General features: G+C 46.1%; 1 protein-coding gene across 8 annotated transcripts in view; it reads left to right on the top strand.

The window, feature by feature from the left end:
• The first annotated feature begins 12,117 nt into the window (after positions 1–12,117).
• ANAPC7 (anaphase promoting complex subunit 7) overlaps positions 12,118–26,241 on the top strand; it is a 30,809-nt gene continuing 16,685 nt past the window's right edge. For 5 of the 8 annotated variants that reach the window (XR_007063088.1, NM_001385212.1, NM_001385211.1 and 2 more), the window contains exons 1-3: positions 12,118–12,299; positions 19,374–19,560; positions 20,606–20,725. Coding sequence is in view for 6 of the 8 variants with exons in the window: in NM_001385211.1 (NP_001372140.1) it covers positions 12,199–12,299; positions 19,374–19,560; positions 20,606–20,725 (408 nt within the window). In the remaining 2 variants the exon portion in view is untranslated. Of the gene's footprint in view, positions 13,104–13,876; positions 14,474–19,373; positions 19,561–20,605; positions 20,726–26,241 lie in introns of those variants that run through there. The other 3 variants (NM_001385209.1, NM_001385208.1, NM_001385210.1) reach the window with 3 other exon arrangements.

Here is a 26,241-nt window from a genome sequence, read left to right as displayed (position 1 = left end):
CCTGTAATCCCAGCTACTTGGGAGGCTGAAGCAGAGAATTGCTTGAACCTGGGAGGCAGAGCTTGCAGTGAGCCAAGGTCGTGCCACTGCACTCCAGCCTGGGCAACAGAGTGAGACTGTGTCTCAAAAAAAAAAAAAAAATTAGCCTGTAATCCCAGCACTTTGGGAGGTCGAGGCTGGTGGATCACCTGAGGTCCAGAGTTCAATACCAGCCTGGCCAACATGGTGAAACCCTGTCTCTACTAAAAATATAAAAATTAGCCTGTAGGCTGGACGTGGTGGCTCACGCCTGTAATCCCAGCACTTTGGCAGGCCAAGGTGGGTGGATCACAAGGTCAGGAGTTCAAGACCAGCCTGACCAACATGGAGAAACCCTGTCTCTACTAAAAATACAAAATTAGCCGGGCGTGGTGGCGCAGGCCATAATCCCAGCTACTCAGGAGGCTGAGGCAGGAGAATCACTTGAACCTAGAAAGCGGAGGTTACAGTGAGCGGAGATCACACCATTGCACTCCAGCCTGGGCAACAAGAGCAAAGCTCCTTCTCAAAAAAAAAAAAAAAAAAAATTAGCTGGGCGTGGTGGTGTGCATCTGTAATACCAGCTACTCAGGAGGCTGAGGTGGGAGAATCACTTGAGCCCAGGAGGTGGAGGTTTCAGTGAGCTGAGATCATGCCACTACACTCCAGCTAGGATGACAGAGTGAGATTCTGTATCAAAAGAAAAAAAAAATCAAATTCATATTATGGTACAAAAAGGTAACAAATTAATGCTTTTAAATGACATTTAAATATTTGTATATATATGTGTGTATATACACATATAAATATATTTATGGCCGGGCGTGGTGGCTCATGCCTGTAATCCCAGCACTTCGGGAGGCCAGGGCGGGTGGATCACGAGGTCAGGAGTTCGAGACCAGCCTGACCAACATGGTGAAACTCCGTCTCTACTAAAAATACAAAAATTACCCGGGTGTGGTGGCACCTGCCTGTAATCCCAACTACTCAGGAGGCTGAGGCGGGAGAATCGCGCCACTGCACTCCAGCCTGGGTGACAGAGCGAGACTCCGTCTCAAAAAAAAAAAAAAAAAAAAAAAAAAAAAAAAAATATATATATATATATATATATATATATATATATATACACACACACATATATATATATATATATCTCGCTCTGTCACCCAGGCTGGAGTGCAGTGGCGCAATCTCGGCTCACTGCAAGCTCTGCCTCCTAGGTTCATGCCATTCTTCTGCCTCAGCCTCCCAAGAAGCTGGGACTACAGGCGCCCACCACCACGCCCGGCTAATTTTTTGTATTTTTAGTAGAGATGGGGTTTCATCATGTTAGCCAGAATGGTCTCGATCTCCTGACCTCGTGATCCGCCCGCCTCGGCCTCCCAAAATGCTGGGATTATAGGCATGAGCAACCCCGCCCGGCACGCCCAGCTAATTTTTGTATTTTTAGTAGAGACGGCGTTTCACCATGTTGGCCAGGATGGTCTCCATCTGCTGACTTCGTGATCTGCCCGCCTCAGCCTCCCAAAGTGCTGGGATTACAGGCGTGAGCCACCACACCCGGCCCTATTTTTTTTTTTTCCAGATTGGATCTCCCTGTGTTGCTTAGAGTGGCTCAAACTCCTGGGCTCAGGGATCCTCCTGCCTCAGCCTCCTGAGCCACCGTACATAGCCTATTTTATTATTTTTATTATATTATATATAATATTATTATAGTTTATATTATATATAATATATATTATATATTATATTATTAAAGTTTATATTGTATATAATATATATTATATATTGTATATTGTATATTATATATTATATATAATATATATAATATATAATATACAATATATAAAATATATAATATATAATATACTATATATTATATATTATATTGCCTGCCTCGGCAGTATGGCAAGAGCAATCTAATATATATTAATATAAATAATATATATTATATAATATTTATTTATTTATTTATCTGAGACAGAATCTTGCTCTGTTGCCCAGGCTGGAGTGCAGTGGCACAATCTTGGCTCACTGCCACTTCCACCTCCTGGGTTCAGGCAATTCTCCTGCCTCGGCCTCCCAAGTAGCTGGGATTACAGTTGTCTGTCACCACACCCGGCTAATTTTTGTATTTTTAGTAGAGACAGGGTTTCACCATGTTGGCCAGGCTCGTCTTGAACTCCTGACGGCAGGTGATCCACCTGTCTCAGCCTCCCAAAGTGCTGGGATTACAGGCATGAGCCACCGCGCCTGGCCTGTTTTTTTTTGTTTGTTTGTTTGTTTTCTGAGATGGAGTCTTGCTCTGTTGCCCAGGCTGGAGTGAGCAGTGGTGCAACCTACCCCTCTCTAACCTATGCCCTGGGGTGGATCACTTCTACCATGCTGCCCTTAATAGCTTCCCACCATGAATTAATTTAATATTTACAACAATCCCATTAAATAGGTGCTGTTATATCTCCCCCGTTTCACAGAAGGGGTGACTAAGGTTCCAGAAAATTAAGTGACATTTAAATTAAGATAATAAATGGCAAAAATGAGATTTAAACCCAGGCAGTCTAGTGCCTATTTCTATGCTTTTAATGGCTCCCCAGTGCCATTTATGAAGGACAATGTAAAGAATACCTGTATCAGCCGGGTGCAGTGGCTCACGCCTGTAATCCCAGAACTTTGGGAGGCTGAGGTGGGCGGATCTCGAGGTCAGATCAAAACCATCCTGGCTAACACAGTGAAACCCCATCTCTACTAAAAATACAAAAAATTACCTGGGCATGGTGGCCCTCACCTGTAGTCTCAGCTACTCAGAAGGCTGAGGCAGGAGAATCGCTTGAACCTGGGAGGCGGAGGTTGCAGTGAGCTGAGATGGCGCCACTGCACTCCAGCCTGGGTGACAGAGTGAGACTCTGTCTCCAAAAAAAAAAAAGAATACCTGTATCTTCATCATTTAACTTTTTTAGCTCTTGCATTTTGCCACAGTTGAAGCTCCCGTAGATCCCTTTCCCATCTCATTCCCTATTCTCGTTTTCTAGATGTAACCTTCAATTTGATTTTGGTGGGCATCTTCACCATGAACTTTTAAATACTTTTCCTAAATATGTATGTATCCAAAAACAATGTATAACATCCTGTATGTTTTCAAACTTTATTGAAATGGTATCATAGAGTGATACAATTCTACAACTTGCTTTAGTCATTCAATATACTTTTTTACATTTATCCATGTTAACATTAATACATGTGTTAGAGTTCACTTATGTTTTAAATGCTGCATAGCAGTTCCTTGCATAAATGTAGCAAAATGTATCCATTCTTCCGCCAATGTATAAACAATATGTTTCAAGGCTTTGGTCTTCTATACATAGAAAGTTCTTGTTATTTTCATTTTGGCCAACGTTTAAAAATTGGAATACTTGGCCAGGCACAGTGGCTCATGCCTGTAATCCCAGCACTTTGGGAGGCAGAGGTGGGTGGATCACCTGAGCTCAGGAGTTTGAGACCAGCCTGGCCAACATGGTGAAACCCGGTCTCTACCAAAAATACAAAAATTAGCTGGATGTGGTGGCGCATGCCTGTAGTCCCAGCTACTTGGGAGGCTGAAGCAGGAGAATCCCTTCAACCCAGGAGGCAGAGGTTGCAGTGAGCCAAGATCGTGCCACTGCACTCCAGCCTGGGTGACAGAGTGAAACTGTTTCAAAAAAAAAAAAATTGGAATACTTCAAATATTAAAATCCAGATTTATAACTATGAATTCTTTTGAAAAGTCAAATGATACAGAAAATTCCCAGCTGCCTGGGACTAATATACTGAAATTAAGTTGCAGCTGCCCCTGTAGAGAGGGCATACTCCAGTTTGTTACAACTTCCCTGCTCCTCCCCATGTGCTGAGTGGTGATGTCAATTGCCATTTATCAAGATGACAATGTTATACATTGTTTTTGGATATATACATATTTAGAAAAAGTATTTAAGGCTGGGCGTGGTGCCTTACAGCTGTAATCCCAGCACTTTGGGAGGCTGAGGTGGGCAGATCACCTGATGTTGGGAGTTCAAGACCAGCCTGGCCATCAGGGCGAAACTTCATCTCTACTAAAAATACAAAAATTAGCTGTGCATAGTGGCGCGTGCCTGTAATCCCAGCTACTTGGGAGGCTGAGGCAGGAGAATCGCTTGAACCCGGGAGGCAGCATTTGCAGTGAGCCAAAATTGCGCCATTGCACTCCAGCCTGCGCAAGAAGAATGAAACTCCATCTCAGAAAAAAAAAAAAAAGAAAAGAAAAAGTATTTAAAAGTTCACAGAAGGCCGGGCACAGTGGCTAACACCTGTAATCCTAGCACTTTAGAAGGCCGAGGCTGGCAGATCACCTGAGGTCAAGAGTTCAAGACCAGACTAGCCAACAAAGCAAAACCCTGTCTCTACTAAAAATACAAAAATAAGTCAGGCATGATGGTGCATGCCTTTAATCCCAGCTACTTGGGAGGCTGAGGCAGAATAGCTTGAACCTGGGAGGTGGAGGTTGTGGTGAGCAGAGATCCTACCACTGCACTCCAGCTTGGGGGACACAGTGAGACTCTGTCCCAAAAAAAAAAAAGTTCGGCTGGGCATGGTTGCTCACGCCTGTAATCCCAGCACTTTGAGAGGCCAAGGCAGGTGGATCACCTGAGGTCAGGAGTTGGAGACCAGCCTGACCAACATGGAGAAACCCTGTCTCTACTAAAAATACAAAATTAGCTGGGCATGGTTGTCAGGCCTCTGAGCCCAAGCCTGCATGTATACATCCAGATGGCCTGAAGTAACTGAAGAATCACAAAAGAAGTAAAAATGGCCAGTTCCTGCCTTAACTGATGACATTACTTTGTGAAATTCCTTCTCCTGGCTCAGAAGCTCCCCCACTGAGCACCTTGCAACCCCCGCCCCTGCCCGCCAGAGAACAACCCCCTTTGACTGTAATTTTCCTTTACCTACCCAAATCCTATAAAACAGCCCCACCCCTATCTCCCTTTGCTGACTCTCTTTTGGGACTCAGCCCGCCTGCACCCAGGTGAAATAAACAGCCTTGTTGCTCACACAAAGCCTGTTTGGTGGTCTCTTCACATGGACGTGCATGACATTTGGTGCTGAAACCCGGGACAAGAGGACTCCTTTGGGAGACCGGTCCCCTGTCCTCACCCTCACTCCATGAGGAGATCCACTTATGACCTCGGGTCCTCAGACCAACCAGCCCAAAGAACATCTCATGAATTTCAAATCGGGTAAACGGTCTTTTCACTCTCTTCTCCAGCCTCTCTTGCTACCCTTCAATCTCCCTCCCTTGCTACCCTTCAATCTCCCTGTCCTTCCAATTCCAGTTCTTTTTCCTCTCTAGTAGAGACAAAGGAGACACATTTTATCCATGGACCCAAAACTCTGGCGCCGGACATGGACTCGGGAAGACAGTCTTCCCTTGGTGTTTAATCACTGTGGGGATGCCTGCCTGATTATTCACCCACAGTCCATTGGTGTCTGATCACTGCGGGGACGCCTGCTTGGTCATTCACCCACATTCCCTTGGTGGCAAGTCAGTTGTGGAGACGCCTGCTTTGGCTGCTCACCACCCCCTTCTCCATGTCTCTACCTTTCTCTTTAAACTTACCTCCTTCACTATGAGCAAACTTCTGCCCTCCATTCCCCCATCTTCTCCTTTAGCCTGTGTTCTTAAAAACTTAAAATCTCTTCAACTCTCACCTGACCTAAAACCTAAGCATCTTATTTTCTTCTGCAACACCACTTGGCCCCAATACAAACTTTATAATGGTTCTAAATAGCCAGAAAATGGCATTTTTGATTTCTCCGTTTTACAAGACCTGGATGATTTTTGTCGAAAAATGGACAAATGGTCTGAGGTGCCTGACGTCCAGGCGTTCTTTTACACATCGGTCCCTCCCTAGTCTCTGTTCCCAATGCGACTCATCCCAAATCCTCCTTCTTTCCCTCTCGCCTGTCCCTTCAGTCCCAACCCCAAGCATTGCTGAGTCTTTTGAATCTTCCTTTTCTACAGACCCATCTGACCTCTCCTCCCCAGGCTGCTCCTCGCCAGGCCGAGCCAGGTCCCAATTCTTCCTCAGCCTCCGCTCCCCCACCCTATAATCCTTTTATCACCTCCCCTCCTCACACCCGGTCCGGCTTGCAGTTTCATTCCACAACTAGCCCTCCCCAACCTGCCCAACAATTTCCTCTTAAAAAGGTAGCTGGAGCTAAAGGCATAGTCAAGGTTAATGCTCCTATTTCTTTATCCAACCTTTCCCAAATCAGTTAGTGTTTAGGCTCTTTTTCATCAAATATAAAAACCCAGCCCAGTCCATGGCCCGTTTGGCAACAACCCTTAGACACTTTACCATCCTAGACCCAGAAGGGCCAGAAGGCTGTCTTATTCTCAATAAACATTTTATTACCCAACCCACTCCCGACATTAAAAAAAAGCTCCAGAAATTAGACTGTGGCCCTCAAACCCCACAACAGGACTTAATTAACGTCACCTTCAAGGTGTACAATAATAAAGTAGAGGCAGCCAAGTAGCAATGTATTTCTGAGTTGCAATTCCTTGCCTCCACCGTGAGACAAACCCCAGCCACATCTCCAGTACACAAGAACTTCCAAACGCCTGAACCGCAGAGGCCAGGCATTCCTCCAGGACTGCCTGTCATGCACGTCCATGTGAAGAGACCACCAAACAGGCTTTGTGTGATCAATAAGTCTGTTTATTTCACCTGGGTGCAGGCAGGCTGAGTCCGAAAAGAGAGTCAGCTAAGGGTGGTGGGATTATCATTAGTTCTTATAGGTTTGGGATAGGCATACAAAGTATATTCTTAAGGGAGGGGGAGAATATTACAAAGTACCTTCTTAAGGGCAGGGTAGACTATATCATATCAGTTAGGGTGGGGCAGGAACAAATCACAATGGTGTATCGTTATCAGTTAAGTCTATTTTTACCTCTTTTGTGGATCTTCAATTGCTTCAGGCCATCTGGATATGTACGTGCAGGCCACAGGGGATATGATGGCTTAGCTTGGGCTCAGAGGCTTGACACCACCTACCCCAGGATCTTGCTTCAAGTGCTGGAAATCTGGCCACTGGGCCAAGGAATGCCCGCAGCCCAGGATTCCTCCTAAGCTACGTCCCATCTGTGCGGGACCCCACTGGCAATTGGACTGTCCAACCCAGCAGCCACTCCCAGACCCCCTGGAACTCTGGCCCAAGGCTCTCTGACTGACTCCTTCCCAGATCTTCTCTGCTTAGTGGCTGAAGACTGACACTGCCCGATCACCTCGGAAGCCTACAGGACCATCACAGACGCTTTGGGTAACTCTTACAGTGGAAGGTAAGTCCGTCCCCTTCTTAATCAATACGGAGGCTACCCACTCCACATTACCTTCTTTTCAAGGGCATGTTTCCCTTGCCTCCATAACTGTTGTGGATATTGACGGCCAGGCTTCTAAACCTCTTAAAACTTCCCAACTCTGATGCCAACTTGGACAACATTCTTTTATGCACTCTTTTTTAGTTATCCCCACCTGACCAGCTCCCTTATTAGGTTGAGACATTTTAACTAAATTATCTGCTTCCCTGATTATTCCTAGGCTACAGCCACACCTCATTACTGCCCTTTTCCCCAGTTCAAAGACTCCTTCACATCCTCCCCTTGTATCTCCCCACCCTAATCCACGAGTATATGATACCTCTACTCCCTCCTTGGAGACCAATCATGCACCCCTTACCATCCCATTAAAACCTAATCACCCTTAGCCCGCCATGCTTTAAAAGGATTAAAGCCCGTTATCACTTGCCTGTTACAGCATGGCCTTTTAAAGCCTATAAACTCTCCTTACAATTCCCCCATTTTACCTGTCCAAAAACCAGACAAGTCTTACAGGTTAGTTCAGGATCTGTGCCTTATCAACCAAATTGTCTTGCCTATTCAACCCATGGTGCCAAAGCCATATACTCTTCTATCCTCAATACCTCCCTCCACAACCCCTCCATAACCCATTATTCTGTTCTGGATCTCAAACATGCTTTCTTTACTATTCCTTTGCACACTTCATCACAGTCTCTCTTCACTTTCACTTGGACTGACCCTGACACCCATTAGGCTCAGCAAACTACCTGGGCTGTACTGCCGCAAGGCTTCACAGACAGCTCCCATTACTTTAGTCAAGCCCAAATTTCTTCCTCATCCATTACCTATCTTGGCATAACTCTTTGTGAAAACACACATGCTCTCCCTGCTGATTGTGTCCAGCTAATCTCCCAAACCCCAATCCCTTCTACAAAACAACAACTCCTTTCCTTCCTATGCATTGTTAGGTACTTCCACTTTTGGATACCTAGTTTTACCATCCTGACTAAAACGTTACATAAACTCACAAAAGCAAACCTAGCTGACTCCATAGATCCTAAATTTTTTCACCACTCCTCTTTCTGTTCCTTAAAAACAGCCCTAGAAGCTGCTCCCACACTAGCTCTCCCTAACTCATCCCAACCCTTTTCATTACACACAGCCAAAGTACAGGGCTGTGTGGTCAAAATTCTTGCACAAGAGCTGGGACCGCACCCTGTAGCCTTTCTGTCCAAACAACTTGACCTCACTGTTTTAGGCTAGCCCCCACATTATTCCGGATACCACACCTGACCCACATCACTGTATCTCTCTGATCCAGCTGACATTCACTCCATTTCCCCATATTTCCTTCTTTCCTGTTCCTCACCCTGATCACACTTGGTTTATTGATGGCAGTTCCACCAGGCCTAATTGCCACTCACCAGCAAAGGCAGGCTATGCTATAGTATCTTCCACATCTATCATTGAGGCTACTGCTCTGACCCCCTGCACTACCTCTCAGCAAGCCGAACCAATTGCCTTAACTCAGGCCCTCACTCTTGCAAAGGGACTACGCATCAATATTTATACTGACTCTAAATATGCCTTCCATATCCTACACCACCATGCTGTTATATGGGCTGAAAGAGGTTTCCTTACTACTCAAGGGTCCTCTATCATGAATGCCTCTTTAATAAAAACTCTTTTCAAGGCCGCTTTACTTCCAAAGGAAGCTGGAGTCATTCACTGCAAGGGCCATCAAAAGGCATCAGATCCCATCGCTCAGGGCAACGCTTACGCTGACAAGGTAGCTAAAGAAGCAGCTTAGCCTTCCAACTTCTGTCCCTCACGGCCAATTTTTCTCCTTCTCATCTGGTCACTCTCACCTACTCCCCCACTGAAACTTCTACCTATCAATCTCTTCCCACACAAGACAAATGGTTCTTGGACCAAAGAAAATATCTTCTTCCAGCCTCACAGGCCCATTCTATTCTGTCGTCATTTCATAACCTCTTCCATGTAGGTTACAAGCTGCTAGCCCTCCTCTTAGAACCTCTCATTTCCTTTCCGTTGAGGAAATCTATCCTCAAGGAAATCACTTCTCAGTGTTCCATCTGCTATTCTACTACTCCTCAGGGATTGTTCAGGCCCCCTCCCTTCCCTACACATCAAGCTCGGGGATTTGCCCCTGCCCAGGACTGGCAAATTGACCTTACTCACATGCCCCAAGTCAGGAAACAAAAAAACCTCTTGGTCTGGGTAGACACTTTCACTGGATGGGTAGAGGCCTTTCCCACAGGGTCTGAGAAGGCCACCGCAATCATTTCTTCCCTTCTGTCAGACATAATTCCTCGGTTTGGCCTTCCCATCTCTATACAGTCCGATAACGGACCGGCCTTTACTAGTCAAATCACCGAAGCAGTTTCTCAGGCTCTTGGTATTCAGTGAAAACTTCATACCCATTATTGTCCTCAATCTTCAGGAAAGGTAGAATGGACTAATGGTCTTTTAAAAACACACCTCACCAAGCTCAGCCTCCAACTTAAAAAGGACTCTGTCAAGGATAGAGCCCCAAAACTCACCAACCAAGCAGGTAATTATGCTGAACCCCCTTGAGCACTCTCTAATTGGATGTCCTGGGTCCTCCCAATTCTTAGTTATTTAATACCTGTTTTTCTCCTTCTCTTAATTCAGACCTTGTGTCTTTCATTTAGTTTCTCAATTCATACAAAACTGCATCCAGGCCATCACCAATCATTCTATACGACAAATGCTCCTTTTAACAACCCCACAATATTGTCCCTTACCACAAAATCTTCTTTCAGCTTAATCTCTCCCACTCTAGGTTCCCACACACCACCCCCAATCCCACTTGAAGCAGCCCTGAAAAACATCGCCCATTATCTCTCCATACCACCCCCAAAAATTTTCGCTGCCGCAACACTTTACGACTATTTCGTTTTATTCTTCTTGTTAACGTAAGAAGACAGGAATGTCAGGCCTCTGAACCCAAGCCTGCATGTGTACATCCAGATGGCCTGAAGTAACTGAAGAATCACAAAAGAAGTGAAAAGGGCCGGTTCCTGCCTTAACTGACCCCTGACCTAGCAACTGATGTTATCTACAGATTATAGAAAGACATTGTGAAACTTCCCGGTCTGTTTCACTCTGACCACCGGTGCATGTCATGTACCCCCTGCTTACTCAATCGATCACGACTCTCTCACGCGGACCCCCTTAGAATTGTGAGCCCTTAAAAGGGACAGGAATTGCTCACTCGGGGAGCTCGGCTCTTGAGACAGGAGCCTTGCTGATGCTCCCAGCCGAATATACTCCTTCCTTCTTTAACTTGGTGTCTGAGGAGTTTTGCCTATGGCTCGTGCTGCTACCATCCTGCCTGCACCCAGGTGAAACAAACAGCCTTGTTGCTCACACAAAGCCTGTTTGGTGGTCTCTTCACACGGACGCACATGACAGTGGTGGCAGGCGCCTGTAATCCCAGCTACTCGGGAAGCTGAGGCAGGGAGAATTCCTTGAACCCGGGTGACAGAGGTTGCAGTGAGCTGAGATTTTGCACTCCAGCCTGGGCGACAAGAGCAAAACTCCGTCTCGAAAAAAAGAAAAAAGAAAAGTTCACAGTGATGATGCCCACCAAAATCAAATAGAAGGTCTCACACATCCAGGAAACTAGAGTAGGGGATGAGATGGGAAAAGGATCTACAGGAGCTTCAACTGTGACAAAATGTTAAGAGCTGAAAAAGTTGCTGATGAAGATACACTGTGATTTTTTCAGAGCATTTTTTTTGCATCTACTACTGTAAAAATCAAATGAAAACAAAATCTAGACCAAAACGACTGTCTCCTTTAAGAAAGGAGCGATAGGCTAGATCTGAGAGGATGACTGTGGAGAATATTCGGACTCTGACTCAACGACCTAAACTGCCTCATTGGCTCAGTTACCTCCCTGGTCCCTGTATACATTTGAGTTTGCGATCCAACATAATTAACCAGTCGATCTGATTCCAAGTCAACCATTTAACAACCTGAGCACAAAATTTAAGCAGGCAGTTTCTTCCCTTGTGGGAAGGGAATGACAACTTCAACTTTATGGATTGTTGTGAGCGTCCCAATAACTTGTGTAAAACTTTCCTAAAACGTTAAGTGTGCCAGACACATACTGGTTTATATGGGTATCAGCTAATTCCTGGATCCAGCCTTTATTTCCACGGATCTAGGGAATAATTTTACATGGGGAAATATACCCCTCGAACCAAGGAGTTCCCCCAGGGCCGAAGCCTGACTTGGCAGGAACACAAAACACCTGAGGAGGGGCGCGGCGGCCCTAGCCTGGTGCGCATGCGCCACTGTAAAGGCCGTTAGGTCTGTCCCTGGCGCCCGATTAGAATATTTAATTCCAGTTGGAGCGTTTTTCCTCACCTTACTGTATTTTATTTCGGTAAATACCCACACATTTTAATTTCTGAGAGGCACAAATTCCTCTCAGACTCATTCAAATTGACCGAGTAGTCTTATAAGGTGCCTTTTGTCTCATTGTAAATCCTCAGTAAAGTTTGCAGTTTAGGATGATAACGTGATTTTTGCGTAAAAATAACAACTCATTTCACCTGAAAAGGACCACGACAGGAGCAGGGACTCGAGTTTCTTTTTATTCGGGCACTTCAGTAGTTACCTCTTGCTTGGGGGTGGTGCCGCGTGTGGACCCGATGGACCCCGGCGACGCCGCCATTTTGGAGTCTTCCCTAAGGATCCTCTACCGGCTTTTCGAGTCAGTGCTGCCGCCGCTGCCCGCGGCTTTGCAGAGCAGGATGAATGTGATAGACCACGTGCGGGACATGGCGGCCGCGGGGCTGCACTCCAACGTGCGGCTCCTCAGCAGCTTGTTACTTACAATGAGTAATAACAACCCGTGAGTTGAGGCGGGTAGCTGCCTGGGGCTGAGGAGAAAGCGGCGGCGGTCTGGGAGCGGGGGCTCAGGGCACGTGGGAACAGGCGGGAAGGAGCGGCCGCCGGCGCCAGCGGAGGCTCCGGGGTCTGCGAGGGCGTCCTGGAGCGGAGCAGACTTCGGAGCGCAAGTTGGGTTCACTGGGTGCCGGCGTCAAGTCCCGCGGGGATGTGGCGAGCGGCGGCTTGGAGACATAGAAGGCAGAGGCTCTGAGGACGACCCAGGCGAGGGTTTCCTGAGGCACCTGTCGCGGGGCAGCGCGACTGTCACATCGCTAGGCTGAATCCTTCCCTCTCGGCTCCTTCCAGAAGAACGTTTTTTTCTCTCGCTGCAGCTCAGGGACCCAGCCTCCTGGTTTTTATGCGCTAGCCCCCGCATCTGAGATTGGTCCCCCCGTTAAGTGTATCAGGAGGGTCCACTTTCTGGCCTTGGGAAACCCCTGAAAACGGGGCCGGGCGCGGTGGCTCACGCCTCTAATACGAGCCCTTTGGGAGGCCGAGGCGGGAGGATCGCTTGAGCCCAGGAGTTCAAGACCAACCTGGGCAACATAGGGAGACCCTGCCTCTACGAAAAGTAAAAATTAAACAATTAGCCGGGCGTGATGGTGCGTGCCTGCGGTCCCAGCTACTCGGGAGGCTGAGGCAGGAGGATCGCTTGAACCCAGGAGGTCGAGGCTGCAGTGAGCCGTGATCGCATCATTGTCCTTTACCGTGGGCGACAGAACGACTGCCTGTCTCAAAAAAAGGAAACGGGAGACTCCATTAATGGGTGGGCGTGGCGCCTTTCATGTTTCCTTGAAGCACTGAGCTGATTCCATCCTTGAGTGCATGTCCCTCTCCTGCTTAATATCCTTTATTGGCCGGGCGTAGTGGCTCATGCCTGTAATCCCAGCACTTTGGGAGGCCGAGGCGGGCGGATCACGAGGTCAGGAGATCGAGATCATCCTGGCTAACACAGTGTAACCCCGTCTCTGCTTAAAAAATACCAAAAAAATTTAGCCAGGCGTGGTGGCGGGCGCCTGTAGTCCCAGCTACTCGGGAGGCTGAGGCAGAAGAATAACGTGAACCCGGGAGGCGGAGCTTGCAGTGAGCCGAAGTAGCACCACTGCACTCCAGCCTGGACGACAGAGCGAGACTCCGTCTCAAAAAAAAAAAAAAATCCTTTATTGCACTTATGAAAATTCTTTCCCATGGCCTCTGAAGGCAAATATCTGCCCTCCACTCTCTGCGACTTCATCTCATTACTCTGTTCACTGCTCTCTAGCCTCCCTGGCTATTCTGTTATTTGTTTTTATTTGTTTATTTATTTTTATTTTTTTGAGACAGCCTCGCTCTGTCGCCCATGCTGGAGTTGAGTGGCGCAGTCTTGGCTCACTGCAGCCTCCGCTTCCTGGGTTCAAGCGATCCTCCTGCCTCAGCCAACCAAGTAGCTGGGATTACAGGCGAGCGCCACACGCCCAGCTAATTTTTGTTATTTTAGTAGAAACAGAGTTTCACTATATTGACCAGTCTGGTCTTTTTTTTTTTTTTTTTTTTTTTTTGAGACGGAGTCTCGCTCTGCACGATCTTGGCTCACTGCAAGCTTCGCCTTCTGGGTTCACGCCATTATCCTGCCTCAGCCTCCCGAGTAGCTGGGACTACAGGCGCCCGCCACCGCACCCAGCTAATTTTTTTGTATTTTTAGTAGAGACAGGGTTTCACGATGGTCTCGATCTCCTGACCTCGTGATCCGCCCGCCTCGGCCTCCCAAAGTGCTGGGATTACAGGTGTGAGCCACCGCGCCCAGCCGACCAGTCTGGTCTTCAACTCCTGACCTCTGGTGATCCCGCCGCCTCGGCCTCCCAAAGTTTAAGGATTACAGGCGTGAACCATCGCTTCTGGCCTCTTTGTGTTATTTGAATGCACCAAGCGTGTTCTCTACTCTGGGCCCTTGTACTTGCTGTTCCTCCTGCGACGGTCCTCATCTCAGCGTTGCCTCCTCCTTCAGGTTTTAGCCTGGATATCTCTCCTAAAGAGCCTTCTCTGACTCCCAGGACTCTCGGGTACTCCCACTTTTCTACCCTTCGCATCACCCACCAATTGAAAGCGCAGTGGCTGTGCGCAATAAGCACTCACATGCTTATTGAGTGTGTTGAGGAAGTGAGTACAACCTCAGGGAGGTGAAATACCCTTGTCCAAGTTCACACATCCAATAAATGGAGGAGTACGATGCCTGGACCTGGTCTTCTCTGACTGGAGAGTCTCCATTCTGAGCCACCAGTCTGCTACCTCCAAATGGCGTTATAATGGAAACTTTTACTCTGTAGATGTATTAGTGTTTGGCCTGCTGTAGAAGCTGGTCTAGGTCAGAAGGGAAAAGTCCTTTAAGTGCTTACAATGCAGCTGCTGCTGCCCATTGGATTTTCATTAGTGCACTTTGGTGTTTTGTTTTGTTTTGCTTTTCAGACGGAGTCTTGCTTTGTTGCCCAGGCTGGAGTGCAGTGGTGCGATCTCGGCTGACTACAGCCTCCACCTCCCAGGCTCAATCGATCCTCCCACCTCAGCCTCCTGAGTAGCAGGGATTACAGATTCGCACCACCACGCCCAGCTAATTTTTTTTTTTTTTTTAATAGAGATGGGGTTTCATCATGTTGGCCAGGCTTGTCTGGAACTCCTGACCTCAAGTGATCCCCATGACTTAGGCCTCCCAAAGTGCTTGGATTGCAGGCGTGAGCCACCGAGCCCAGCCTCATTAATGTGCTTTGGACCTTACTAGTGAGACCCACATTTTGCCACCATCCACTTCATGTTGACAGGAGCCCTGGTCTCTGTCAGCCTTATGTGTTTATGCTGGAGCCTTTCACTTGGTTCTGAGTGATTTGCCAAAGCATACAGTTTCCACGTTTGGAGATTTAGGCCCTAGTTACTCTTAGTTCTTAAAGATGTTACAGGATAGTTTGAAACAGTTTAATTCTCTGGCTAGACGAAGTTTAGCCCATGCTTTTTCATATTGGGTTAGATTGGCAGTTTCCTAGCTTCAGGACATGTTTAAGTTCTGACCTTCATGATTTATACTTTAAAATTTCTTGTGGAATAGGAATAGACACTGTTAAATTCAAACAGTGGAGAAGGGGCATGCAGATCAGTATCTTTACCTGAGTCTTGAACCTCACCCCAACATTTCCTTTCTCCAGAGGCAATAACTATTTTTTCGTGTGTCATTACAGAGATAACTTAATGCATGTGTAAGTAGACATGTATCTTATATGCATATCTGAATGCTTTCTGTGGATGTAATAATACTTTTGTATCTAAGCATCAAATGGTTATTTCTCACTACATACATAGAATCACAGAGTTTGAAGAGAACTTAAGTCATCTAGACTATACTCTTTTTGTTGTTTTTTTTCTGTTTTTCTGGGGAGACTGAGTCTCACTCTGTCGCCAGGGCTGGAGTGCAGTGGCGTGATCTCGGCTCACTGCAACCTCCGCCTGCTGGGTTCAAGCAGTTCTCCCTCAGCCTTCCAAGTAGCTGGGATTACAGGCGCCCACCACCATGCCTGGCTAATTTTCGTATTTTTAGTAGAGACGAGGTTTCAACATGTTGGCCAGGCTGGTCGAACTCCTGACCTCAGGTGATCCTCCCTCCTTGGCCTCCCAAAGTGCTGTGATTACAGGCGTGAGCCACCGCGCCTGGCCCCTTTTTTTTTTTTTTTTTGTCTGAGACAGAGTCTCTCTCTCGTCACCCAGGCTGGAGTGCAGTGGTGGGATCTTGGCTCACTGCAACCTCCACCTCCCAGGTTCAAGCGATTCTCCTGCCTCAGCCTCTAAGTAGCTAGGATTATAGGCATAAGCCACCGCACATGGCCACAATAATGCAATTCTGTGGGTTTTAGTGTATTTACAAAATTGTATGATCATCACCATGATCTAACTCCAGAAGGTTTTCATTATCCCAACAAAAAGAAACCGTGTCTATTAGTAATCACTCTCCAATTGTCCCTTCCTCCCGCAAACACTAATGTATGATGCCTATTTTTTTTTTTTTTTAAGAGACAAGATCTCACTATGTTGATCAGACTCTAGGCTCAAGCAGTCTTCCCACCTCAACCTCCCAAAGTGTTGGGATTACAGGTGTGAGCCACTGTGCCTAGCTTGTTGAGAAATTAACTATCTACAGAATTATTCGACTCGGCTGGGCGCAGTGGCTCACGCCTGTAATCCCAGCACTTTGGGAGGCTGAGGCGGGTGGATCATGAGGTCAGGAGTTTGAGACCAGCGATGGCCAACATGGCGAAACCCCGTCTCTACCAAAAATACAAAAATTAGCTGGGCGAGGTGGCAGGTGCCTATAATCCTAGCTACTCGGGAGGCTGAGGCAGGAGAATTGCTTGAACCCGGGAGGCAGGGGTCGTAGTGAGCCGAGATTGTGCCACTGCATTCTAGCCTGGGCGACAGAGTAAGACTCCTTCTCAAAAAAAAAAAAAAAAGAATTATTCAGCTCACTCTGTTCTTTCATATAAGCAACTATAACTTTGTTTTTCTTGTTTTTGTTTTTGTTTTTGGAGATGGAGTTTGGCTCTTGTTGCCCAGGCTGGAGTGCAATGGCACACTATCTTGGCTCACCGCAACCTCTGCCTCCCAGATTCAAGTGATTCTCCTGCCTCAGCCTCCCGAATAGCTGGGATTACAGGCATGTGCCACCACGCCAGGCTAATTTTGTATTTTTAGTAGAGACAGGGTTTCTCCATGTTGGTCAGGTCCTGAACTTAGGTGATCCACCCACCTTGGCCTCACAAAGTGCTGGGATTACAACAGGCATGAGCCACCATGCCCCGGCCTGCTGTAGCTTTTACTTGTCAAAGAAAAACAGTAAACTTCTTCCTCTTATTTGGGAAGGAGTGGAATTGGAGGTTGAAAATATGAGTTCCTCATTAGGAATGGTGGTCAACTTCTAGGCAGTTATAATTCTTGACTGTAATACTCAAGGTTAAACAGTTTTAAAACATTGGTTCCTTTACACTGTCCTGAAATCCCTGAGACTCCAGGAGGTAAGAATTCTAGTGCTAGTGAAGTTTACTTTTTTTTTTTTCTGAGACAGGGTTTCATTCCCTGTTGCCCAGGCTGGTGTACAAATGGCATGATCTTGGCCCACTGCAACTTCTGTCTCCTGGGCTCAAGCGATTGTCCTGTCTTAGCCTCCTAAGTAGCTGGGATTACGGGCATGCACCACCATGCCTGGCTAATTTTTGTGTTTTCTTTTTTTTTGAGACAGAGTTTCACTTGTCACCCAGGCTGGAGTGCAGTGGCACGATCTTGGCTCACCCCAACCTCTGCCTCCTGGGTTCAAGTCATTCTCCTGCCTCAGCCTCCCAGGTAGCTGGGATTACAGGCACTCGCCACCGCACCTGGCTAATTTTTGTATTTTTACTAGAGACGGGGTTTCACCTTATTGGCCAGGCTAGTCTCAAACTCCCAACCTTCAGTGATCTGCCTGCCTCGGCCTCCCAAAGTGCTCGGATTACAGGTGCAAGCTACTGAGCTCAGCCTAAATAAACTTTTATCAAGGCCAATCCTCTTGCTATCCCATTGGCTTTCCCGATCTTTTTTTTTTTAAAAGACAGAGTTTCACTCTTGTCGCCCAGGCTGGAGTGTAGTGGCGCAATCTCGGCTCACAGCAACCTCTGCCTCCCGGGTTCAAGCGATTCTCCTGTCTCAACCTCCCGAGTAGGTGGGATTACAGGCATGCGCCACCACACCCGTCTAATTTTGTATTTTTAGTAGAGACGGTTTCACCATGTTGGTTAGGCTAGTCTTAAACTCCTGACCTCAGGTGATCCGCCTGCCTTGGTGTCCCAAAGTGCTGGGATTACAGGCATGAGCCACCACGCCCAGCCCCCCATTCTCCTTTTATAGTGGCATTTTCTTTAGTTTTTAGTGTTTTTTTTTTTTTTTGAGACGAGATCTCGCTCTGTCGCCAGGCTGGAGTGCGAGTGCAGTGGCGCGATCTCGGCTTACTATAACCTCCACCTCCTAGGTTAAAGCAATTCTCCTGCCTCAGCTTCCCGAGTAGCTGGGACTACAGGCGCCTGCCACCACTCCCAGCTAATTTTTGTATTTTTAGTAGAGCTGGGGTTCCACCGTGTTGGCCAGGATGATCTCGATCTTGTGATCTTGTGATCTGCCCGCCTCAGCCTCCCAAAGTGGTGGGGTTACAGGCGTGAGCCACCGCGCCTGGCCTTTCTTTAGTATTTGAAGAGCTTTCAGGTTTTTTCAAACTTCTTTTTGTGCATTGGTTTTTTTTTGTTGTTGTTGAGACGGAGTCTGGCTCTGTCGCCCAGGCTGGAGTGCAGTGGCATGATCTCGGCTCACTACAGGCCTCCTGGGTTCATGCCAGTCTCCTGCTTCAGCCTCCCAAGTAGCTGGGACTACAGGCGCCTGCCACCACGCCTGGCTAATTTTTTGTATTTTTTAGTAGAGATGGGGTTTCACCGCGTTAGCCAGGATGGTCTCGATCTCCTGACCTCGAGATCCGCCCCCCTCAGCCTCCCAAAGTGCTGGGATTACAGGCGTAAGCCACCGCACCCAGCCTGTGCAGCCTGTTTTTAAAAAGGATTCAAAGTGGTGAGGTTTCTCTGTACTTCATCTTAATATGAGAATATGGATAGATATATCTCAGACTGTTAAAAGGGCCTGGTGGCCAGGCATGATGGCTCACGCCTGTAATCCCAGCACTTTGGGAGGCCGACGCAGGTAGATCACTTGAGGTCGGGAGTTTGAGACCAGCCTGGCTAACATGGCGAAACCCCATGTCTACTAAAAAAAAAAACAAAAATTAGCTGGGTGTGGTGCCATGTGCCTGTAATCTCAGCTACTCGGGAGGCTGAGGAAGGAGAATCACTTGAACCCGGGAGGTGGAGGTTGCAGTGAGCCGAGATCGTGCCACTGCACTCCAGCCTGGGTGACAGAGTGAGAATCTATTTCAAAAAAAAAAAAGAAGCTGGGGGAGCTTGGATTGAAAGGGAGGAAAAGATGTATTACATTTTCTCTTGTTTTCTAGTGAGTTATTCTCCCCACCTCAGAAGTACCAGCTTTTGGTGTATCATGCAGATTCTCTCTTTCATGATAAGGAATATCGGAATGCTGTGAGTAAGTATACCATGGCTTTACAGCAGAAGAAAGCGCTAAGTAAAACTTCAAAAGTGAGACCTTCAACTGGAAATTCTGCATCTACTCCACAAAGTCAGGTAATTGGAGATAGAATTGTGATTTTTTTTTTTTTTTTTTGAGAAAGACTCCAAGAATTTAGAACAGGGTCCCCAGGCCCCAGTGCCTGGTCTGTTAGGAACCAGGCTGCACAGCAGGAGGTGGGTGGAGGGCTAGTGAATATTACTGCCTGAGCTCCGCCTCCTGTCAGATCAGCTGCGGCATTAGATTCTTATAGGAACACAAACCCTATTGTGAACTACACATGCTAGGATCTAGGTTGTGTGTTCCTTATTATAATCTGACTAATGCCTGAAGATCTGAGGTGGAACAGTTTCATCCTGAAACCACCCCCTCACCCCCCATCTGTGGAAAAATTGTCTTTCATGAAACTGGTCCCCTGGTGCCAAAAAGGTTGGGGACCGCTGATTTAGATGATAGCTGATTAGATGTAGAAGATGAGGCCAGAAGCTGGGCGCAGTGGCTCACGCCTGTAATCCCAGCACTTTGGGAGGCCTAGGCGGGCGGATCACGAGGTCAGGAGATTGAAACCATCCTGGCTAACACGGTGAAACGCCGTCTCTACTAAAAATACAAAAAATTAGCCAGGCATGGTGGTGGATGCCTGTAGTCCCAGCTACTTGGGAGGCTGAGGCAGGAGACACCAGCCTGGGTGACAGAACGAGACTCTGTCTCAAAAAAAAAAAAAGAAGATGAGGCCAGGCACAGTGGCTCACACCTGTAATCCAAGCACTTCCAGAGGCGGAGGTAGGAGGACTTGAGGTCAGGAGTTTGAGACTAGCCTTGGCAACATAGTGAGACCCCTGTCTTTACAAAACGGCATGGTGGCACATACCTGTAGTACTCAGAAGGCCAAGGTGGGAGGATCGCTTGAGACTAGGAGTCTAAGACTGCAGTAAATCATGTTTGCACCACTGCATTGCAGCCTGGGCAACAGAGCGAGACCCTGTCTCAAAAAAAAAAAAAAGAATTGCTGGGTCATATGATAACTCTATGTTTAACGTTTTGAAGAACTGTCATATTGTTGGAATAACGTTTCAAAGAAATATTTCCATTGTCTTTTAGTGTCTTCCATCTGAAATTGAAGTGAAATACAAAATGGCTGAATGTTATACAATGCTAAAACAAGATAAAGATGCCATTGCTATACTTGATGGGATCCCTTCAAGACAAAGAACTCCCAAAGTAAGTTGAATGTTTATGTGTTTTTCTCCTCAGCTCTCCTAACCCTGCTCCCTCTCTCCATGTTTTCTCATGCATTAAGGAGTCCGTGTGAACATTTTACCCATGATTCTAATTCTCATTTTCTTCCTCTTCATGGAGTGGGGGTGGGGGACCCTGAAAATCCAGCTGATGAAAATGATAGCTGGAGAATACTACACATGCTTATTCTTTGTTTTTTCTTTTTTATTTTTTATGTTTAACTTAATTTAATATTTTTTGAGACAGAGTCTCACTGTCACCCAGGCTACAGTACAGTGTTGTGATCCTGGCTCACTGCAGCTTCAACCTCCCAGGCTTAAGCAATCCTCCCACCTCAGCCTCCCAAATAGCTGGGATTACAGTTGCATGCTGCCACACCCAGCTAATTTTTTTTTTTTTTTTTTTTTTTTTTTGAGGTGGAATTTCACTCTTGTTGCCCAGGCTGGAGTGCAATAGCATGGGGGCTCACTGCAAAGTTGCCCAGGCTGGAGTGCAATAGCATGGGGGCTCACTGCAACCTCCATCTCCCAAGTACAAGTGATTCTCCTGCCTCAGCCTCCCGAGTAGCTGGGATTATAGGCGCCTGCCACCACGCCAGGCTAATTTTTTTGTATTTTTAGTAGAGATGGGGTTTTGCCATGTTGGCCAGGCTGGTCTTGAACTCCTGACCTCAGGTGATCCGCCCACCTCGGCCTCCCAAAGTGTTGGGATTACAGGCGGGAGCCACCGCACCTGGCCAATTTTTTTTATTTTTGGTAGAGATAAGGTTCCACTGTGTTGCCCAGGTTGGTCTCAAACTCCTGGGCTCAAACTGTCCTCCCACTTTGGCCTCCCAAAGTGCTGGGATTACAGGTGTGAGATGCCACTCCAAGCCTATTTTTTATTTTTGTTTTGTTTTTTTTGTTTTGAGACAGAGTCTTGCTCTGTTGCCCAGGCTGGAGTGCAGTGGTGCGATCTCGGCTCATTGCAACCACCACCTCCCGGGTTCAAGTGATTCTCCTGCCTCAGCCTCCTGGGTAGCTGGGATTACAGGCACCCGCCACCACGCCCAGCTAATTTTTTTTTTGTATTTTTAGTAGAGATGGTGTTTCACCATGTTGGCCAGGCTGGTCTCGAACTCCTGACTTTGTGATTCGCCTGCCACGGCCTCCCAAAGTGCTAGGATTACAGGCGTGAGCCACCATGTCCGGCTATTTTTTTTTTTTTTTTTTTTTTGAGAGGGAGTTTCGCTCTTGGTGCCCAGGCTGGAGTGCAATGGTGCAATCTCAGCTCACTGCAACCTCTGCCTCCCGGGTTCAAGCAGTTCTCCTGCCTCAGTCTCCCAAATAGCTGGGATTACAGGCATGCGCCACCATGCCCAACTAATTTTGTAATTTTAGTAGAGACTGGGTTTCTCCATGTTGGTCAGGCTGGTCTTGAACTCCCGACTTCAGGTGATCCACCCACCTCGGCCTCACAGAGTGCTGGGGTTACAGGTGGGAGCCACCATGCCCGGCCAATTTTTTTTTTCTTTTTTTTAAATAGAGATGGTCTCCACCATTTGCCCAGGTTGGTCCCAAACTTCTGGGCTCAAGTTGTCCTCCCCCCTTAGCCTCCCAAATTGCTGGGATTACAGGCAGGAGCCACTGCACCTGGCCTCCTTGTGTTTGTTTTTGTTTTTAAGTGAAAGTGAGTTTATTAATAAAATAAAGGAATAAAGAATGGCTACTCCATAGGCAGAGAAGACTTTGATATTTCTTATTATAGGAAATAATGATTTATTTGCAAAACACTTCCAGGTGGCAAAAATACTTTTTTAGAACTTCATTTTTTGCCTTCCATAGGTGTACACATTTGGTAATGGGGGTGGTTTTATTCCTTTGTTTTGAAAATTAATACTGTAAGATTCTTTTATCCTTATTTATGTGTAGAATATGTCTTTGTGTTTGATTTGGCAGCATATTATAGTGAAGAAAACACCTTTAACTAAAATCAAAAGATCTGGTGTCGGCTGGGCATGGTGGCTCATGCCTGTAATCCCAGCACTTTGGGAGGCCGAGGTGGGTGAATCATCTGAGGTTGGGAGTTCGAGACCAGCTTGACCAACATGGAGAAACCCCGTCTCTACTAAAAATATAAAATTAGCCGGGTGTGGTGGCGCATGCCTGTAATCTCAGCTACTCTGGAGGCTGAGGCAGGAGAATCGCTTGAACCCAGGAGGCAGAGGTTGCGGTGAGCCGACGTGGTGCCATTGCACTCCAGCCTGGGCAACAAGAGTGAAACTCCATCTCAAAAAAAACAAAAAAACAAACAAAAAAAGATCTGGTGTCTAGTTTGAGTTTAGGTGCATACAAGCTGTGTGCAGTGTGAACTTGGGCAAGTTACCAATTTGTGAGCTTTACTACTTTTTTATTTATAAAATGAGAAGAATAGTATTTTTTCTGTTACTTTTATAAATACCAAATAAATTCATGAATGTGAGAATATATCAGTATTTAATATTCTAATAATACTGTCATGTCTCCTGCCTTGCTCATTTTATTGAAAAACTGTTTTGTGCAACTTGTGCTTAACAATAAGGAATTTTATAGGTAAAATGACAGGTGCATCCTCCTGCCTTTAAAAGATACGAAATCTAAGCAGTAGGGGCCTGGTGTATTTTAGTTAGTGCTGCTTCATCCAAGTCTTGCTGAACTTTAAAAGTAACCAAACTTGATGAGAACATGTTTAAGCACCTCCTCATATTAAGGTATTATTTACTATTTTCTGAGTTTTTGAAGCTATTTCTTCAGTATGATGGTGGCTGCTATTAAAAACACTTGAAAGTTTATTATGAATTAACCTCTCTCATCATAAGCCTGGATGCTGTATACTAAATCCTGTTCTGGTAACCTATGAAAGTCTTCTCTTACTCCAAGAATAATCTTGTTGCACAGATGAAGAATGTCTGCTGCAATGCTCAAGGTATCTTCCTTTTGTAAGAAGCCTTTTTTTTTTTTTTTTTTTTTTTTGTGAGGTGGAGTCTTGCTGTGTTGCCAGGCTGGAGTGCAGTGGCACAATCTTGGCTCACTGCAACCTCCACCTCCCGGGTTCAAGCGATTCCCCTACCTCAGCCTCCCGAGTAGCTGGGACTACAGGCGTGTGCCACCACGCCCAGCTACTTTTTTGCATTTTAGTGGAGACGGGGTTTCACCATGTTGGCCAGGATGGTCTCGATCTGACCTTAGGTGATCCGCCTGCCTTGGCCTCCCAAAGTGCTGGGATTACAGGCATGAGCCACCACGCCCGGCCAAGAAGCCATTTTAATTATAAACTTTGAAGGATACTATTCCTTACTTTATTAGAAATATACCATAATCTCCTTCATAATGACCTGTGGATATTTGTAGGACTTTTTTTTGAAAATAGTAATGTTAAAGCATCTCAGCTTTATAGCATCCACTGCTTGATTTTCATTGCCATCATTCTTAGAGCACCTGTATGAGTCTGCATTTGTCAGCAGTACATATCCTTCATTCTGTAGTGCTCTTACAGCTAGGAGCAAAGATGTGTGCCTCAAACATAAACCTATAACATTTACAGTTTTTCTTTCTTGTCTGTTAGGGAGTTAACTGGCTTCTCAGTCTATGTAAAGGACAAGGAAGTGAGTCAAAATGTGTCTAAATGAATGTCTGTTAATATATGGTAAACATCGCCACATATTCCCTCACATTTTAAAGGAAAATTCCAGTGTTAGATTATTAAATCTTGGTAAATCTTCACCTTTTAAGAGTAAACATACCAACATAGAATTTCTTACTCAGTTTTTAGAAAATGATGACTGCTTGTGTTTATAACTGGTGGAATGTGGCTTTATGATGTTTTTAAGTGAGTATCTATTTTTAAAATAGTTGACTTTTTTTGTTTGTTTGTTTGAGATGGAGTCTCTCTCTGTTGCCCAGGCTGGAGTGCAATGGCATGATCTCAGCTCACTGCAACCTCCACCTCCTGGGTTCAAGCGATTCTCCTGTCTCAGCCTCCTGAGTAGCTGGTACTACAGGCGCGTACCGCTGCACCTGCCTAATTTTTTGTATTCTAGTAGAGACGGGGTTTCACCATGTTGGCCAGGCTGGTCTCGATCTCCTGACCTCGTGATCCACCCACCTCGGCCTCCCAAAGTGCTAGGATTAGAGGTGTGAACCACTGCGCCCGGCCAATAATTGACTTTTTCATTAGGTATTACTCAAAACTCATTCTTTTAAAGTGACAGTCAAGTAGCTTAAAGGAAATTTTGATATTTGTTGAGAAAGATAGTCCATCAGTCATAGTTTGTTAATATAACCAGCAGTCAAGAAAGGATCTTAAATTTAACTTTTTATTCTTTACAAGTATTGACATCAATCCTGGAGTTTTCCTTTTAAGTATTTTTCTTTGCATTTTCAAAATAGTAGCCTAATATGGAAAATCTGAGGCCAAGTAAAAAATAGTTTTATTTTTAGTATTTCATTATTCCATTGTTTGAATTAGTGTGAATCAATGCTATATTAGATTGTTTTATATAATGTAGGTCTATAATTGGAACAGATGTTCTTTATCTTTAGAGCCACTCTTTCTATAAATATCTGGCATACCAAGCCACAGTTAAATCGAAGAGATTGGGGGTTGACCTTTTTTCTTTTGTGCCCTCACATTGACTGCTTCCTTAGGTTAATGATCTAGCAAATACTGTTGTGTTTAAAATCTACTAATTTTGCCAGACACGGTGGCTCACGCCTGTAATCCCAGCACTTTGGGAGGCCGAGGTGGTTGGATCACCTGAGGTCAGGAGTTCAAGACCAGCCTGGCCAACATGGTGAAACACCATCTCTACTTAAAATACAAAAAAAAAATTAGCTGGGCGTGGTGGCGGGTGCCTGTAATCCCAGCTACTCAGGAGGCTGAGGCAGGAGAATCACTTGAACCCAGGAGGCAGAGGTTGCAGTGAGCTGAGATCGTGCCATCGCACTCTAGCCTGGGTGACAAGCGTGAAACTCCGTCTCAAAAAAAAAAATCTAATTTTAAATTGGAATATTGTGTTTATCTGTGTACTATTAGGAAGGTCTTTTATCACTTGCCTATAACTTCTACATTCTTAGGAACTTTTAGATTTTCTGGCTTTTTTTTTGTTTTTGTGGGTTTTTTTTGTTGTTTTTTGAGACGGAGTCTCGCTCTGTCTCCCAGTCTGGAGTGCAGTGGCACGATCTCGGCTCACTGCAAGCTCTGCCTTCCGGGTTCACGTCATTCTCCTTCCTCAGCCTCCTGAGTAGCTGGGACTACAGGCGCCCGCCACCACGCCCAGCTAATTTTTTGTATTTTTTAGTAGAGACGGGGTTTCACTGTGTTAGCCGGGATGGTCTCAATCTCCTGACCTCGTAATCCACCCACCTCGGCCTCCCAAAGTGCTGGGATTACAGGCATGAGCCACTGCGCCCGGCCAGAACTTTTAGATTTTCTCATTTCCCAGTTGCATGTTAGGTAGGATTATTTTAATTTAGCTTTAC

Source organism: Homo sapiens, chromosome 12 (assembly GCF_000001405.40).
Source record: "Homo sapiens chromosome 12, GRCh38.p14 Primary Assembly".
Lineage (NCBI taxonomy): Eukaryota > Metazoa > Chordata > Mammalia > Primates > Hominidae > Homo > Homo sapiens.
Note: the sequence above shows the minus strand (reverse complement) of the source record. Positions and strands in the feature narration are given on the sequence as shown.